We start from the raw sequence: 18,220 nt of genomic DNA, 5'->3' as shown, positions 1-18,220 counted from the left end.
ACCATCCTGGCTATCACGGAGAAACTCCATCTCTACTAAAAATACAAAATATTAGCCTAGTGTGGTGGCATGCGCCTGTAGTCCAAGCTGCTCAGGAGGCTGAGGCAGGAGAATTGCTTGAACCTGGGAGGCAGAGATTGCAGTGAGCCAAGATTGCGCCACTGCACTCCAGCCTGGGCAACAGAGTGAGACTCCGTCTCAAAAATAAATAAGTAAATAAAAAAAAAAAATGCGACCTCAGCTTTCCAGACTAAGGGGATGTAGAGGAACCATTATCTCAGCAGCTTCTGAATTTCAGATGGTCCACGAAAAAGGATTTGTTATATCCAACCTCTTCAACAGGAATTCTAACCTAACTTTGTCATATGATCAGAAGCCTCAGATACTTTTTTCTCAACCTCTGATTCCTACATCGACTGTGTGCTTTTGTTTAGTCTGTAGCAGTATAAAGTTAGGGGGCATGGTTCACAAGACCACTATCACTTCAAACACCGATTGCAAATTTGAGGCTTCCCAAGACCACTGTCAAGGTTTGATAATTCTCTAGAAAGACTCATAGAACTCACTGAAAGCTGAAATAGCCATAGTTACAGTTTTTTTTGTTTTGTTTTATTTTTGTTTTTGTTGTAATTCTTTTTTTTTTTTTTTTTTTTTGGCAGGATTTTGCTCTATCACCCAGGGTGGAGTGCAGTGGTGCATTCATAGCTCACTACAGCCTCAGTCTCCCAGGCTCAAGTGATCTTCCTGCCTTAGCCTCCAAAGTAGCTGGGACTACAGGCACGTATGACCACACCCAGCTAATTTTTTTTTTTAATTTTGATTTTTAGCAGAGACAGGGTCTTGCTATGTTGCCCAGACTGGTCTCAAACTCCTGGGCTTAAGTGATCCTCCTGTTTTGGCCTCCCAAAGTGTTAGGATTAGAGGTGTGAGCCACTGCACCTGGCTGGTTATAGTTTACTACAGTGAAAGGATACAGATTAAAGTCAGCCAAGCTGGGCACCGTGGCTCACACCTGTAATCCCAGCACTTTGGGAGGCAGGGAGATCACCTGAGATCACAAGTTCGAGACCAGCCTGGCCAACATGGTGAAACCCCGTCTCTACTAGAAATACAAAAAAATTAGCCAAGCATGGTGGCGGGCACCTGTAGTCCCAGCTACTCAGGAGGCTGAGGCATGAGACTCGCTTGAACCGGGTGGTGGAGGTTGCAGTGAGCCGAGATAGCGCCACTGCACTCCAGCCTGGGCAACAGAGTGAGAATCCATCTCGAAAGTTTATGTCTTAAGGAATAAGAAAAAGAAGAAAAAACTTAACCCACAGCTAACGAGCAGAAGGAAAAAAAAATCACAGGAGGGACAAATAAAAAGAGAAGAAAAATAACAGGCCAATTACAACCCCTCCCCACCCTGCTCCCGCCACCTCCACCGGAACAGGTGCTGGTATCCACAGGTGAGAGACCCATAGACGATTCACATTATAGGACTCTGTGCAGACAACTCCCAGTATTAGCCCAGAGCCAGATAGACTCGATGGGTGGCTAGACCCAGAAAAGAGACAACAATCACTGCAGTTCGGCTCTCAGGAAGCTACATCCATAAGAAAAGTGGGAGAGTACTACATCAAGGGAACACCCCTTGGGACAAAAGAATCTGAACAATAGCCTTCAGCCCCGGACCTTCCCTCTGACAGAGCCTACCCAAATGAGAGGGAACCAGAAAACCAATCCTGGTAACATGACAAAGCCAGGCTCTTCAATACCCCCCAAAAATCACACTAATCCACCAGCAATGGATCCAACAAACCAAGAAATCCCTGATTTACCTGAAAAAGAATTTAGGAAGTTAGTTATTAAGCTAATCAGGGAGGGAGCAGAGAAAGGCAAAACCCAATGCAAGGAAATCCAAAGTATGATACAAGAAGTGAAGGGAGAAATGTTCAAGGAAATAGATAGCTTAAAGATAAAGCAATACAAAATTCAGGAAACTTTGTACACACATTTAGAAACATGAAATGCTCTGGAAAGTCTCAGCAATAGAAATGAACAAGTAGAAGAAAGAAATTCAGAGCTTGAAGACAAGGTCTTCGAATTAACCCAATCCAATAAAGACAAAGAAAAAAGAATAAGAAAATATGAACAAAGCCTCCAAGAAGTCTGGGATTATGTTAAATGACCAAAACTAAGAATAATTTGTGTTCCTGAGGAAGAAGAGAATTCTAAAAGCTTGGAGGACATATTTGGGGGAATAATCAAGGAAAATTTCCCCAGCCTCACTAGAGACCTAGACATGCAAATACAAGAAGCACAAAGAACATCCGGGAAATTCGTTGCAAAAAGATCTTCACCTAGGCACATTGTCATTAGGTTATCCAAAGTTAAGACGAAGGAAAGAATCCTAAGAGCTGTGAGACAGAAGCACCAGGTAACCTATAAAGGAAAACCTATCAGATTTACAGCAGATTTCTCAGCAGAAACCCTACAAGCTAGAAGGGATTGGGGTCCTATCTTCAGCTTCCTCAAACAAAGCAGTTATCAGCCAAGAATTTTGTATCCAGTGAAACTGAGCATCATATATGAAGGAAGGATACAGTCTTTTTCAGACAAACAAATGCTGAGAGAATTCATCCCTACCAATCCACCACTAAAAGAACTGCTAAAAGGAGTTCTAAATTTTGAAACAAATCCTGGAAACACATCAAAACAGAACCTCTTTAAAGCATAAATCACACAGGACCTATAAAGCAAAAATAGAAGTTAAAAAGCAAGAGCAAAAAACCAAAAACAAAAGCACACAGGCAACAAAGAGCATGATGAATGCATGTTGAATTTAATACCAACATTAAATGTAAATATCCTAATGGCTCCATTTAAAAGACACAGAACTGCAGAATGGGTAAGAACTCACCAACCAACTATCTGCTGCCTTCAGGAGACTCGCCTAGCACATAAGGACTCACATAAACTTAAAGTAAAGGGGTAGAAAAAGGCATTTCATGCAAATGGACACCAAAAGCGAGCAGGGGTAGCTATTCTTATATCAGACAAAGCAAACTTTAAAGCAACAGCAGTTAAAAGAGACAAAGAGGGACATTATATATGGTAAAAGGCCTTGTCCAACAGGAAAATATCACAATCCTAAACATATACGCACCTAACACTGGAGATTCCAAATTTATAAAACAATTACTAACAGACCTAAGAAGTGAGATAGACAGCAACACAATAATATTGGGGGACTTCAATCTTCCACTGGCAGCACTAGACAGGTAATCAAGACAGAAAGTCAACAAAAAACAATGGATTTAAACTGTAGCTTGGAACAAATAGACTTAACAGATATATACAGAACATTTTATCCAACAACTGCAGAATTCCTGTTCTATTCAACAGCGCATGGAACTTTCTCCAAGATAGGCCATATGATAGGCCATAAAATGAGCCTCAATACATTTAAGAAAATTGAGATTATATCAAGCACTCTCTCAGATCACAGTGGAAAAAAACTGGAAATCAACTCCAAAAGGAACCTTCAAAACCATGCAAATATACAGAAATTAAATAACCTGATCCTGAATGAGCACTGGGTCAAAAATGAAATCAAGATGGAAATTAAAAATTCTTCAAACTGAATGACAATAATTACACAACCTATGAAAACCTCTGGGATATGGCAAACATGGTGCTAAGAGGAAAGTTCACAGCTCTAAATGCTTACATCAAAAAGATGGAAAGAGCACAAACTGACCCTCTAAGGTCACACCTCGAGGAACTAGAGAAACAAGAACAAACCAAACCCAAACCCAGCAGAAGAAAGAAAATAACAGAGATCAGAGCAGAACTAAATGAAATTGAAACAAACAAGAAAAAAATACAAAAGACAAATGAAACAAAAAGCTGATTCTTTGAAAAGATAAATAAAATGGATAGACTATTACCAAGATTAACCAAGAAAAGAAGAGAGAAAATCCAAATAACCTCACTAAGAAATGAAACAGGAGATATTACAACTGACACCACCAAAATACAAAAGATCATTCAAGGCTACTATGAACACCTTTATGCACATAAACTAGAAAACCTACAAGAGATGGATAAACTCCTGGAAACATACAACCTTCCTAGCTTAAATCAGGAAGAATTAGATACCCTGAACAGACCAATAACGAGCAGCGAGATTGAAATGGTAATTTAAAAATTACCAAAAAAACACAAAAAAGTCCAGGGCCCGATGGATTCACAGCAGAATTCTACCAGACATTCAAAGAAGAATTGGTACTAATCCTTTTGACACTATTCCACAAGATAAAGAAAGAACCCTCCCTAATTCATTCTATGAAGCCAGCATCACCCTAATACCAAAACCAGGAAAGGACATAACCAAAAAAGAAAACTACAGACCGATATCCGTGATGAATATAGATGCTAAAATCCTTAACAAAATACTAGCTAACCGAATTCAACAACATATCAAAAAGATAATCCACCATGATCAAGTGGGTTTCATACTAGGGATGCAGGGATGGCTTAACATATGCAAATCAATTCATGTGATAACACCACATAAACAGAATTAAAAACAAAAATCACACGATCATTTCAATAGATGCAGAAAAAGCATTTGTCAAAATCCAGCATCCCTTTTTGATTAAAGCTCTCAGCAAAATCTGCATACAAGGGACATACCTTAATGTAATAAAAGCCATCTATGACAAACCCGCAGCCAACATGATACTGAATGGGGAAAAGTTGAAAGCATTCCCTCTGAGAACTGGAAGAAGACAAGGATGCCCACTCTTACCACTCCTCTTTAACATAGTACTGGAAGTCCTAGCCAGAGCAATTAGATAACAGAAAGAAATAAAGAGCCTCTAAACTGGTAAAGAGAAAGTCGAACTGTCACTCTTTGCTGACAATATGATTGTTTATCTTGAAAACCCTAAGAACTCCTCCAGAAAGTTCCTAGAACTGATAAAAGAATTCAGCAAAGTTTCCACATACAAGACTAATGTACAAAAATCAGTAGCTCTTCTATACACCAACAGTGACCAAGTGGAGAATCAAATCAAGAACACAATCCCTTTTATAATAGCTGCAAAAAAAAAAAAAGAAACAAAAACCTTAGGAATATACCTAACCAAGAAGTCGAAAGACCTTTACAAGGAAAACTACAAAACACTGCTGAAAGAAATCATAGACAACACAAACAAATGGAAACACATCCCATGCTCATGGATGGGTAGAATCAATATTGTGAAAATGACCATACTGCCAAAAGCAATCTACAAATTCAGTGAAATTCCCATCAAAATACCACCATTAGTCTTCATAGAATTAGAAAAAACAATTATAAAATTTGTGTGGAACCAAAAAAAGAGTCTGCATAGCCAAAGCAAGACTAAGCAAAAAGAACAAATCTGGACACATTACGCTACTTGATTTCAAACTGTACTATAAGGCTATAGTCACCAAAACAGCGTCGTACTGGTATAAACATAGGCCCATAGACCAATGGAACAGAATAGAGAACCCAGAAATAATCCCAAATATTTACAGCCAACTGATTTTCAACAAAGCAAACAAAAACACAAAGTGGGGAAAGGACACCCTTTTCAACAAATGGTGCTGGGATAATTAGTTAGCCACATGTAGGAGAATGAAATTGGATCCTCATCTCTCACCTTACACAAAAATCAACTCAAAATGGATTAAGGACTTAAACGTAAGACCTGAAACTGTAAAAATTCTAGAAGATAACATTGGAAAAACCCTTCTAAACATTGGCTTAGGCAAGGGTTTCATGACCAAGAACTTCAAAGTGAATGCAATAAAAACAAAGCTAAATAGTTGGAACCTAATTAAACTAAAGAGCTTTTGCACAGCAAAAGGAACAGTCAGCAGAGTAAACAGACAACCCACAGAGTAGGAGAAAAATCTTCACAATCTATACATCTGACACAGGACTAACATCCAGAATCTACAATGAACTCAAAGAAATCAGTGAGAAAAATTCATAGAAACACACAAGATATCAAGAGTGAATCATGAAGAAACAGAAAATATGAATAGACCTTTAAGTAGTAAGGAGATTGTATTGGTAATCAAAAACCTCTCAACAAAGAAAACTCTGGACAATATTGCTTCACTGGTGCATTTGACCAAACATTTAGCGAGGATTTAACACCAAATCCTTCTCACATTCTGCTGAAATGTTGGAGAGAACACTTGTTAGCTTAATCTTTGAGGTCTGTATTACTCTAACACCAAAGCCAAAGACAGCTCAAGAAAGTACAAATCTGTACTTATAAATATTGATGCAAAAAAAAAGAGCTTCAACAGAACACTATGAAACAAAATTAGCAGCATAATAAAAGGAGTATACCCCATGACCAAGTGGGATTTACTCTCAGAATGCAAGGATAGTTCAACTATGAAAATAAATCTGACCAGGTGCAGTAGCTCATGCCTATAATCCCAGAATTTTGGGAGGCCAAGGTGGAAGGATCACTTGAGCCTAGGAATTCAAGACCAGCCTGGGCAACATAGTGAGACCTCATCTCTACAAAAAAATCAAAAAATGAGGCAGGAGAATTGCTTGAGCCCAGAAGGTTGAGGCTGCAGTGAGCTCTGATAGTGTGCCACTGTACTCTCACCTGGGTGATGGAAGTGAGACCCTATCCCCCAACCAAAAAATTCAATCAATCAATGTAAAACTCCATGTTAACAGAATGAAGGAAACAAATCCTATGAACATTTTAATTGATTCAGAAAAATATCATTTGACAAAATTCAACACTTGTTTGTGACCAAAACAAACTGAAAAACTGAAAAAAACTAGGATTGGAAGTAAACTTCCTTAACATAATAAAGGCCATATATGAAACCCCACAGCTAGCATTGCCTTCAATGTTGAATGACTGAAAGCTTTCCCCCCAAGATCAGATACAAGACAAGGTTGCCTTCTTTTACTATTTCTATTCAACATAGCATTGGAAGTCCTAGCCAGAGCAGGTAGGTAAGAAAAAGAAATAAAAACCATTCAAATTAGAAAGGAAGAAGTACAATTACCTGTTTGCAGATAAATGATCTTATAAATAGAAAACCCTAAAGACATACAACACATACGAGAACTGTCAGGACTAATAAATGACTTCTGAAAAGTTGCAGAATAGAAAATTAACATAGAAAAATCAGTTGCACTTCTATAATCTAACAATCAACAATCCAATGGGAAATTTTAAAAAATTATATTTACAATAGCAACAAATAGAATAAAATACTTAGGAATAAACTTAATCAAGGATGCAAAAGACTTGCACATTTAAACTACAAATTGTTGCCAGGCATGGTGGTGTGTGCCTGCAGTCCCAGCTACTCAGGGGCCAAGGTGAGAGGATCTCTTGAGCCCAGGAGTTTGAGACCAGCCTGGGCAACATAATGAGACTGTCTTTTAAAAAAACAGGTAAAATTATAAAAGATTGGTGAGAGAAATTTAAGAAGATACTAATAAATGGAAAGACATCTCATATTAATGGATTGGAAGACTTAATAAGACACTATTAATAAGACTTAATAAGATGCTATTACTACCCAAAATGACCTACAGATTCAATACAATCTCTATCAAAATCCTAGCAGTTTTTTTTGCAGAAATGGAAAAACTCATCTTAAAATGCATATGGAATTGTAAGGGACCTTGAATAGCTAAAACAATCTGGAAAAGAAGAACAATGTTGGAAGACTCACACTTCCTGATTTCAAAACATATTGCAAAGCTATAGTAGTCAAAACAGTATGGTATGGGCAAAAAGTCAGACATATAGACCAATGGAATAGAGAGTCCAGTAATCAGCCCTCAGATATATGGTCAAATGATTTTTGACAAGGGTGCCAAGACCATTCAATGGGAAAAGTAAAGTCTTTTCAACAAATAATGCTAGGAAAATTGGATATTCACACATAAAAGAATGAAGCTGGACCCTTACCTAACACCATAAACAAAAATTAACTCAAAATGGGTCAAAGACCTAAATGTAGGACCTAAACCTTTAAAACTCTTAGAAGAAAATGTTGGGCAAAAGCTATATAATATTGGGTTTGGCAGTGATTTCTTGGCTATAACACTGAAGGCACAGGCAAAAACATAAGAAATAGACAAATTGAGCCTTACAAAAAATTTTTAAAATTTGTTCATCAAAAGAAGCTATCAGTAGAATAACAGGAAATCTACAGAATGGGAGAAAATATTTGCAAATCATATACTTGAAAAGGGATTAGTATTCAAATGCACCAAGAACTCTTAAAATTCGATGACAGAAAGACAAAGAATTGAATTCAAAAATAGGCAAATAACATGAATAGACATTTTGCAAAGAAGATATACAAAAGACCAAGAAGCCCATGAAAAGATGCTCAACATCACTAACGTTAGGAAAATGCAAATCAAAACCACAATGAGATACCACTTCACACACATCAGGATGGCTACTATTAAAAAAACAGAGTATAACAAGTGTGGACAAGGATGTGGAGAAATTGGAATCCTTGTGCATTGCTGGTGGAGATAAAAATGGTGGCTGGGTGTGGTGGCTCATGCCTGTAATCACAGCAATTTGGGAGGCTGAGGTGGGCACATTGATTGAGCTTGGGATGTCAAGACCAGCCTGAGCAACATGGTGAAACCCCATCTCTACGAAAAATACAAGAATTAGCCAGGTATGGTGGTGTGTGTCTGTGGTCCCAGCTACTTGGGAGGCTGAGGTAGGAGGATCACTTGAGCCCAGGAGGGAAAAGTTGCAGTGAGCCGAGATTGTACCACTGCACTCCAGCCTGGATGTGAGACCCTGTCTCAAAAAAAAAAAAAAAAAGTACAGTTTCTGTCAAAAATAGTATGGCAGTTCCTCAAAAAAAATTAAAAATAGAATTACCATATGATACAGTGATTCCACTGCTGGGCATATACCAAAGAATTGAAAGCAGGGTCTGGAAGAGATATTTGTACATCCATGTTCATAGCAGCATTATTCACAATAGCTAAAATACGGAGGCAACCAAAGTATCTGTTGACAGACGAATGGATAAGCAAAGTGTGGTCTATCCAGATAATGCAATATTATTCAGCCTTAAAAAGAGGAAAATTCTGACACATTGCTACAACATGGATGAATCTTAGAAGACATTATTTTAAGTGACATAAGCCAGACACAAAGGACAAATACTGTATAATTTCACTTACATGAGGTATCTAGAGTAGGTAAATTCATAGAGGCAGAAAATGGAATAGCGATAACTAGGGACTTGGGGCAGAGGAGAATGGAGAAATATCATTTAATAGGTACAGTTTTAGTTTGAGATGACGGAAAATTCTGGAGGTGGACATTGGTGATATTTGCACAACAACATAAATGCACTTAGTGTTACTGAATTCTGCACTTACAAATGGTTGAAATGGTAATTTTTTTCTTTTTTTCTTTCTTAAAATGGTAAATTTTATGTTATATATATTCTACTACAACAACAAAAAATCATTTGCATTTTACAAGTTAAACCAATCCTTACAGAATTTAAAATTTCCTAAGGAATAACCAAACAAAAGCACATGCCTCTAGAACAGGGTTTCTCAGGCTCAGCGCTACTGATATTTTGAACCAGATAATTCTTTGTTGTGGACAGTGTCCTGTGTCTTATAGGGTATGTGGTAGCATCCCTGCTGTCTTTCCACTCAAGGTCAGTAGCAATCCCCTCCCCTGCTGTGACAACCAAAAATGTCTCTGGACATTGCCAAATGCTGCCCGGGGCACAAAATCAACACCAGTTGAGAACCACTAATAAGAGTTCTGGAAATCCCCACTCAGTCCCGAATCCTGACAGTTGTCTAGGCGCATCAGCTTGCAAGTCTATAGCCATAAATCCGTTCCTTGAGACATCAGCAGTTAGAAGTATCTGGTACAGTCCTTTCCACAGACACTCTGAGACAGTCCTTCTTTGTTGTAGATCTAAGTTTTAGAATCTGTAGCTTACAGCAGAGCCAGTCCATATCACAAAGCATCATTTTCCTTACCAGTGTCCATGAAATACTTTCTCAATTCACGTGAACTCATAGACAGACATATGAGCAAGGTTTTTACCCAATTCTTTGTTGTATCTCACATGGCAGAGAATAGATTCACATCAACCTGCTATATCACAAAACGGTTGGACCATAAAACTACATTCCTAATCATTGCTGCCACCATTGGGGAATAAATTCTTGGCCATGCGCAAATCTGAACTGGAAACAAATTTGTCTAAGGACCAGAAACAGAAGCAAAAGTAATGAGATAGGGTGGCAGCGGGGAGCGGGTGGTGAGATGCACAGAGAAACAGAGTCAAGGAAGATAAATTCTATTGGCATTTGAGACTCACTTCAGGAGCCAAGAAAAGGTGCTACTGGGCTTACCTGGCCAGGAAGTGCACTTTTTTGGTTAATTAAGTTTAATTGGTTCCGGAAGTTGAGTCCACTTGGACATCTCAATGAGATGTCCAAAACTGTCAAAGTATGTGCAATGAACTGAATTGCATATGTTGAAGCGCTAATCCAAAATTCTTATGTGGAAACCCTGACCTCCGATGTGACTATATATTTGGAGATGGGGCCTGTGAGGAGGTGTTAAAGTTGAATGAGGTCATGAGACTTAAGCCCTGATCTGATAGGGCTGATGCCCTCATAAGAAGAGGAAGAGACCCCAGAACTCTCTTTCAGCCATGTGAGGACACAGGGAGATAGGGGCTATCTACAAGCCAGGAAGAAAACTCTTTGCCAGAAACCAACGATGCTGGCACTTTGCTCTTGGACTTCACAGCCAGAACTGTGAGAAATAAATTTCTGTTGTTTAAGCCACCCAGTCTATGCTACTTTTTTATGGCAGCTCTAGCATACTAATGCAGTATAATTCCCCAAAAAGTTATCAACGTGACTTTCTTACAAACACAAATATATATATTTTTTTGAGATGGAGTTTCGCTCTTGTTGCCCAGGCTGGAGTGCAATGGTGTCATCTCAGCTCACCACAACCTCTGCCTACCAGGTTCAGGGGATTCTCCTGCCTCAGCCTCCCGAGTAGCTGGGATTACAGGTATGCACCACCACGCCTGGCTAATTTTGTATTTTTAGTAGAGACGGGGTTTCTCCATGTTGGTCAGGCTGGTCTCAAACTCCTGACCTCAGGTGATCTGCCCACCTCGGCCTCCCAAACTGCTGGGATTACAGGCGTGAGCCACCTTGCCTGGCCTGATTTATTTTAATCCATCAATGACGGGATCAGCATGATAACAAGCCTGGTTCTGTATTAGACTTTTTAAATGAGTGACTTATACCAGCTACATTCATTTCCTCACTATTCACACATTCCTTAGCTTCCCAGATTTCACGTTTACCCTCTCACTTTATTAAACCTCATTTTTTTATTTTTTATTTTTAGTTATTTTATTTGGAGACACAGTCTCACTCTGTCACTCAGGCTGGAGTGCAGTGGCACGATCTCGGCTCACTGCAACCTCTGCCTCCTGGGTTCAAGCCATTCTCATGTCTCAGCCTCCAGAGAAGCTGGGACTACAGGCATGCGCCAGTCATGATTGAATAATTTTTGTATTTTTTGGTAGAGATGAGGTTTCACCATGTTGGCCAGGCTGGTCTTGAACTCCTGACCTCAGGTGATTCACCCCCGTGGGCCTCCCAAAGTGCTGGGATTACAGGCATGAGCCACTGCGCCCAGCTAAAACCTCATTTTTTATACAGATGGGTCTTGCTGTGACACCCAGGTTGGAGTGCAGTGGTGTGATCATAGCTCACTGCAGCCTCGACATCCTGGGGTCAAACAATCCTCCCACCTCAACCTCCTGGGTAGCTGGGACTACAGGCATGCTCCACCATGCCTGGGTAATATCTTTTATTTTTTAAGAGACAGGGTCTTGTTACATTGCCCAGGCTGGTCTTGAACTCCTGGCCTCAAGTGGTCCTCCCGCCTTGGCCTCGTAAAGTAGTGGGATTATAGGCACAAGCCACCGTGGCTGGCAAAACCTCATTCTTGAAACTCACCAGCAAACTATTCTACTGTGGAACCCAAGTTTTCTTCATTCCTCACTATCCTAAATTACATAGTACTAGTGACAACTGTTCACCTGCAGTTTGAAGACCCTAAGCCAGTTCTCTGCTTGTGTTTCTGGATACATCTGTTCTTTGTCGTTCTTCCTTCGTATGTGGAGCCATCCTCAAAGCACTGGGGTCATCCTGCTTAACAATAAAAAGAGCTACCATTTATTGATTGCTTATTCAATGCAGACACAGTTCTCACTACTTCATAAGCTGCAATTTTATCTGGTCTTCACAGGAACTGTTATTATCTCTGTTTCATGCCTAGGGACACTGAAGCATAGAGAAGTTACCTGACCAAAGTCACGTAGTTAGTGGCAAAACCAAGATTCAAACTCAGGCAGTCTGGCTCTGCCTTGAGGCAGACTGCACAGTCTCCACCTTCTCTATTTTTTGCCTCGGAGCACCTGGCCAATTATCCCTTGGCCAACCTCACATGACTATTAACTCCAGAGTCAGCCATCTCTGAGCTCCAATTCCACCACTGCTAGCTGTGTAATCTTAATCGAGTTCTTTATTCTTTATTAGGTCTAGTCCTCAATTTCATCATCTGTAAAATGGGCACATAATAGATTCTATTTCTAATTCTCACAGAGTTGCTATGAGAATTAATTGAGCTGATATGAGTAAAATGCCTGACATTGAGAAGGCATTGGATGCTAGTACTATTAGTCATCTAATTACATGTTGTTTGTCTGTGGAACAGAGCACCTAGGTTCTTTTCCTGGGATCCATAAGCCAGCATGGGGGAGGGTTACAGGCAGGCAAATGTTTTGTGTGTACATTTATTTTTTCTGGGGAGAAAGTCCATAAGTTTGATCATATTCTCAAAAGAGTATATGACCCCCAAAAGTTGGGAACCACTGAGCTTTAAATGAGTCTAAAAGGGCCCCAGCACGGTGGCTCATGTCTGTAATCCCAGCACTTAGAGAGGCTGAGGAAGGCGGATCGCCTGAGGTCAGGAGTTCAAGACCAGCCTGGCCAACATGGCGAAACCTCGTCTCTATTAAAAATACAAAAATTAGCCCAGCATGTCAGCGTGAGCCTGTAATCCCAGCTACTTGGGAGGCTGAGGCAGGAGAATAGCTTGACCCAGGGAGACGGAGGTTGCAGTGAGTCGAGATCATGCCACTGCCCTCTGGCCTGGGTGACGGAGCAAGACTCCGTCTCAAAAATAAATAAATAAATACATAAATAAATAAACCTAAAGTTTGAGACCTGCGTCTTTTACATTTCCTGCCCTCAGCATAGCCAGGGATACAGCAAGCTTTCACTGATGTGCATGGAATTGAATCCTCACTGGAACGTAGCAGCTGGGTCAAGGCCGTGGACAGTAGGGTTCCTGACATTGTCACCTGTCTTCATTCCACACAAAGATGCCCACTGTGAAAAGTTTTCTGAAATCACTTCTTCAGTCCAATAACAACATTTCAAAGCTGAGTATTTCACGTGCTGCATTGGGAAAGGGTGCTGATTACATCCCTCAAACTGCACAACTGTGACCGTCACTGCTGGCTGATACTTCGCAGAAGGGCGCAGGGGGCAACTGTTGATGTGGCAGGGCTATGTTAGCATTCTTTACCTTACCTTCGCTTGAGGACTTAAGATAATAGCAGCTACCACAGAAATAATGGAAACAAAAATTCTTTTATTTTAATTTGTATCCGTTCTTACGGTTTCTTTATACTCCTCCTCAATTCAAAATGAATCTAAGCACATTTAGATATTGATTCCAATTAAGATATTTAATATGTCTTATCTTCTGTAAACTAGTCCATTTTGTGTTGATATAAAGGAATTCCAGAAATTGGGTAACTTATTTACAAAAAAAAAAAAGGAGGTTTTTTTGGCTCATAGTTCTGCAGGCTGTACAAGAAGCACAGTGCTGGCATCTGCTTCTGGGTGGGGAAGCCCAGGAAGCTCACAGCCATAGCAGAAGGGGAAAAGGCAACAGGTATGTCACATGGCAAGAAAGGGAGCAAGAGGGATGCCAAGATCTTTTAAACAGCCAGCTCCCACATGAGCTAATAGCATATTATTATGTCAGGACTTATCCGCTTGGAAGTGACAAAAAAAATTCAAACTAGCTTAAACAGAAAGGATATTTGTGGGCTCAGGCAGAGCTAGAGCCAGGGGTTCAACCAATGTCACTGGGACTCTCTTTCCTTCTCTTTGTCTTTGAGCTCTGCTTTCCTGCTGAAGGCTGGCCTCTTCTTCTCGCACTGGAAAAGGACTTCCTCCCTATAGCTGGAGAAAGTGCCACTTAATAGCCTCAAGCTTATATTGTCTGAGCCAAAGACCACCAGCAAAAGAGAACTTCTTGGTATTCCAATTATAGACAAAGATTCTTCCATCACATGCGCAGCTGTTGCCAGGGGCATAAGATGATCTGATTGGCCAAGCCCAGGTCACTTCCCTTTCCCTATAGATGGGGACAGAGTGGGAGGCTGGGGTTGACAGCCCCAGGAGAACCACAGGGGGACAGGGAAGAGCAGTGAGCAGATGAAGCAATACGTGTCCATTTATACATTTGCCTTTGTGTTAAAATAACAAGAACTTGATGAGAAAGACCAAACTGGACAGCACTCATGGGGTGGGAAGGACTCCTCTCTGGGACATAATTGACCATATGTAAGGTCTAGCTGTTAAAAAATCTACTATAGTCATAAGCATAACCTATAAGATCGTATTTCTAGAACAGAGGAGGTAAGCCTCCCTCCAGAGGAGCCCTTGTTCATACAGTACTGAAGGACAGCCACAATGGACGAGGGTGTCAATTTGTTCTGCAGATGAGATGAGGACCGATGAGCAAAGATTAAAAGACAGAACAGTGGCAAATGTTACTGGCTTGGGACTGGTTTCTTAAGCTAGAGGGAACTTTTAGGAATGACCTAAGGCAGCGGTCCCCAACCTTGTTGGCACCAAGGACTAGTTTCGTGGAAGACAATTTTTCTACAGATGTGGGGCAGCAAGGCAGCGTGGTTTAGTGATGAAACTGTTCCACCTTAGATCATCAGGCATTAGACAGATTCTCATAAGGAGTGCGCAACTTAGATCCCTCGCATGCACAGTTCATAAAAGGGTTCGCACTCCTATGAGAATCTAATCCTGCTGCTGATCTGACAGGAGGCTGAGCTCAGGTGGTAATTGTTCACATGCCGCTCACCTCTTGCAATGCGGCTCAGAACCTAACAGGCCATAGATGGTACCAGAACCCCTGGCCTAAGAGGCTCACAGAAAAAATGGAAAGGGTGGAAATTTAAGAGAAACCAAGGGGACTCCAGAAACCAGGCTGCAAGATCCAGGCATAGGCAGGAGAGGGAGGATCTGTGCCCTCAATTTTGGCAGAGGAAGCCCTGGATGGGAGGCAGCCCTGGGCGAGGAGGGGCATCTTCCTCTGATGGAGATTGGGGAGCCAATAGAAAGGAAGATCTGGCCAGGCACAGTGGCTCATGCTGTAATCCCAGCACTTTGAGAGGCCGAGGCAGATGGATCACCTGAGGTCAGGAGTTCAAGACCAGCGTGGCCAACATGGTGAAACTCTGTCTCTACTAAAAATACAAAATCTAGCCGGGCATGGTGGCAGGTGCCTGTAGTCCCAGCTACTCAGGAGGCTGAGGCAGGGGAATAGCTTGAACTCAGGAAGGGGAGTTGCAGTGAGCCAAGATCGCGCCACTGCACTCCAGCCTGGGCGACAGAGTGAGACTCCATCTCCAAAAAAAAAGGGCCTGGAGCTGCACTCCTGAAAGATAAACAATAGATATTTGCCACACAGGCATACAGATTCCACATGAGAAAATCTGCTGGCGACCGAGTCTGGCCAGGAGCAGAACAGGCAGCCTCACAGGGACATGAAGGCTGTCCACCTCTCGGGGGGTGTGGCTGAACCTCTTGGAGCCCTTCCACCCTAAGCCTCTGGCACTATCACTCCCTCAGCTTGCCAGCCCATCCTATCTCAATAATTTTCTTCTTCTGAGCCAGGGGAGGCCATCCTCCGAGGGCTTCCTCAACTTCCCTCTTCCTTGCTTCTGAGAAAAAGCTGATCTTCCAACTCACATGCTGTGTACCCACTCCTCCTGACTCCTCCCCAATTCACGTGCTCTGTACCCACTCCTCCCACACAGTGCTCCTTCCATCCACTGCCCTCTCCTTCCCATTTGTCTCTGGATGGTGCTGTTCTCTCTCCCTCTCTCTCCCCCCGTCCCCAGCCCCCGACTGCCCCTTCCAAATACAAACATACTCAGGAGACATCCGCTATCTACTTGACACTTTTTATGAATTCCCATGCCAGTGTAGAACCTAGAAAAGCCAGATATTTGCAAGCCTCTCTTGTAAATAGGGTGCAGTCGCTCAGGTTAGAGTGCAGTGGTATGATCTCAGCTTACCTCTGCCTCTCAGGTTCAAGTAATTCTCCTGTCAGCCTCCGGAGTAGCTGGGACTACAAGCATGCACCACCAAGTCCAGCTAATTTTTGTATTTTTAGTAAAAATGAGGTTTCGCCATGTTGGCCAGGTTGGTCTTGAACTCCTGACCTCAGGTGATCCGCCTGCCTTGGCCTCCCAGAGTGCCCTTATATTTGTGTGTGTGTGTGTGTGTGTGTGTTGTGTTGAAGATTGTAAAATATGCCCGCAAATTCCTTCACCCGGTATGCAATCCCTTTTGGAATGTGAATTTGCTGCTCCTCTTATGCAGAAGGGAAGTTCATTTCTCTCCCTTGACTCTTAGCCTTGTGATTTCTTTGAACGTGAGAATGCAGCAGGAGATGTATATGACCTTGAGATGCCAGTCCAGGCTTCTGGAGGATGTGACCAAGACGGCCCAGCCCACAGCCCACCCCACTGCCAGTTATGTAAGGGAGGTGTACTAGTTTGTTTTGTGCTGTTATAAAGGAATACCGGAGGCTGGGTAATTTATAAATAAAACAGGTTTATTTGGCTCATGGTTCTGCAGGCTATACAGGAAGCACAGTGTCAGCATCTGCTTCTGGTGAGGCCTCAGGGAGCTTCCAATCATGGTGGAAGGGGAAGGGGAGCTGTCATGTCACATGGAGAGAGAAAGGGAGTGAGAGAGAGAGAGGAGGACATGCCAGGCTCTTTTTGAACAACAAGCTCTCATGCAAACTAAAAGAGTGAGAACTCACTCGTTACTGAAGAATGGCACCAAGCCATGCATGAGGGATCTGCCCCCATGACCCACACACTTCCCACTAGGCCCCACCTCCAACATTGGGGATCAATTTCAACTTCAGATTTGGAGGAATTATCCCAACTATATCAGGAGGTCATCTTGAAACTTCCAGCCCTGCTGTCTCTCCATCAGAATCCAACTGCGGAGGAACTGCCCAGCTAACCCTCAGAATCATAAGAAATAATAAATCTTAGCTGTTTTAAACCACTGAGTTTTGGAGTGAATTATGCAGCAAAAGCTGAAACCGATGGTGTCCTGCATGTCCCATAGAACTACATATAACCATTTCCCCACCTTATTCAATCTTTATTAAGGCTACTTTGGTTGCAAACATCAGAAACCAACCCCAGCCAGCTTAAACAAAAGGAAAGTGCATTAGAATGTCCCTAATGTAAGTCAAGGAACAGAAAATAAAGTTGGGAAGGGGAGAAATCATGGCGTCCGCGGACTCATTAGCAGCAGGGTATCCTGGAGTTTCCGTCCAGAAAACTGCCATTAACACAATCCCGTGCTAATGATTGGACTAGTAACTTCAAGTTTTCAGAGCAGACGGTCTGACCCGCCCCATTTGGGCCAGTAGCCGCCTCTGAATCATTTAGCTATGATGAGGTGGGCGGTGGTGGTGGGAGGCAGGATGCGGACACGTAGAAAGTAGGTGAATTCGTGGGAATCCTGACGTGGAAGCCGTGAGCGCTACTCACGGCCTGGGCTTGCTTTTTAACTGCTATATATATATTTAGATTTTCCAAAAGTTTTTTCCTTTCAAATCTTTTTGCAGCTACTGTATCAAGGCTCTTTTTTTAAGAAAGGGAAAATAGTGCAGGACCACTTCTGAAACTGTAACAAATGGGGCAACGTTGTATTCTTCTGTACAATGTAACTGGATCTGTGAAGGTTTTTATTTTTTAT

General features: G+C 41.7%; 1 annotated feature.

The window, feature by feature from the left end:
• Positions 17,756–18,050: a silencer, noted in NCBI's record as "tiled region #13048; HepG2 Repressive non-DNase unmatched - State 3:PromF". NCBI's record gives its function as "represses a minimal TATA promoter and a strong SV40 promoter by Sharpr-MPRA in HepG2 cells {active_cell/tissue: HepG2}" and the evidence as "EXISTENCE:reporter gene assay evidence [ECO:0000049][PMID:27701403]".

This window comes from Homo sapiens, chromosome 1 (assembly GCF_000001405.40).
Source record: "Homo sapiens chromosome 1, GRCh38.p14 Primary Assembly".
In the NCBI taxonomy this organism is placed as follows: domain Eukaryota; kingdom Metazoa; phylum Chordata; class Mammalia; order Primates; family Hominidae; genus Homo; species Homo sapiens.
Note: the sequence above shows the minus strand (reverse complement) of the source record. Positions and strands in the feature narration are given on the sequence as shown.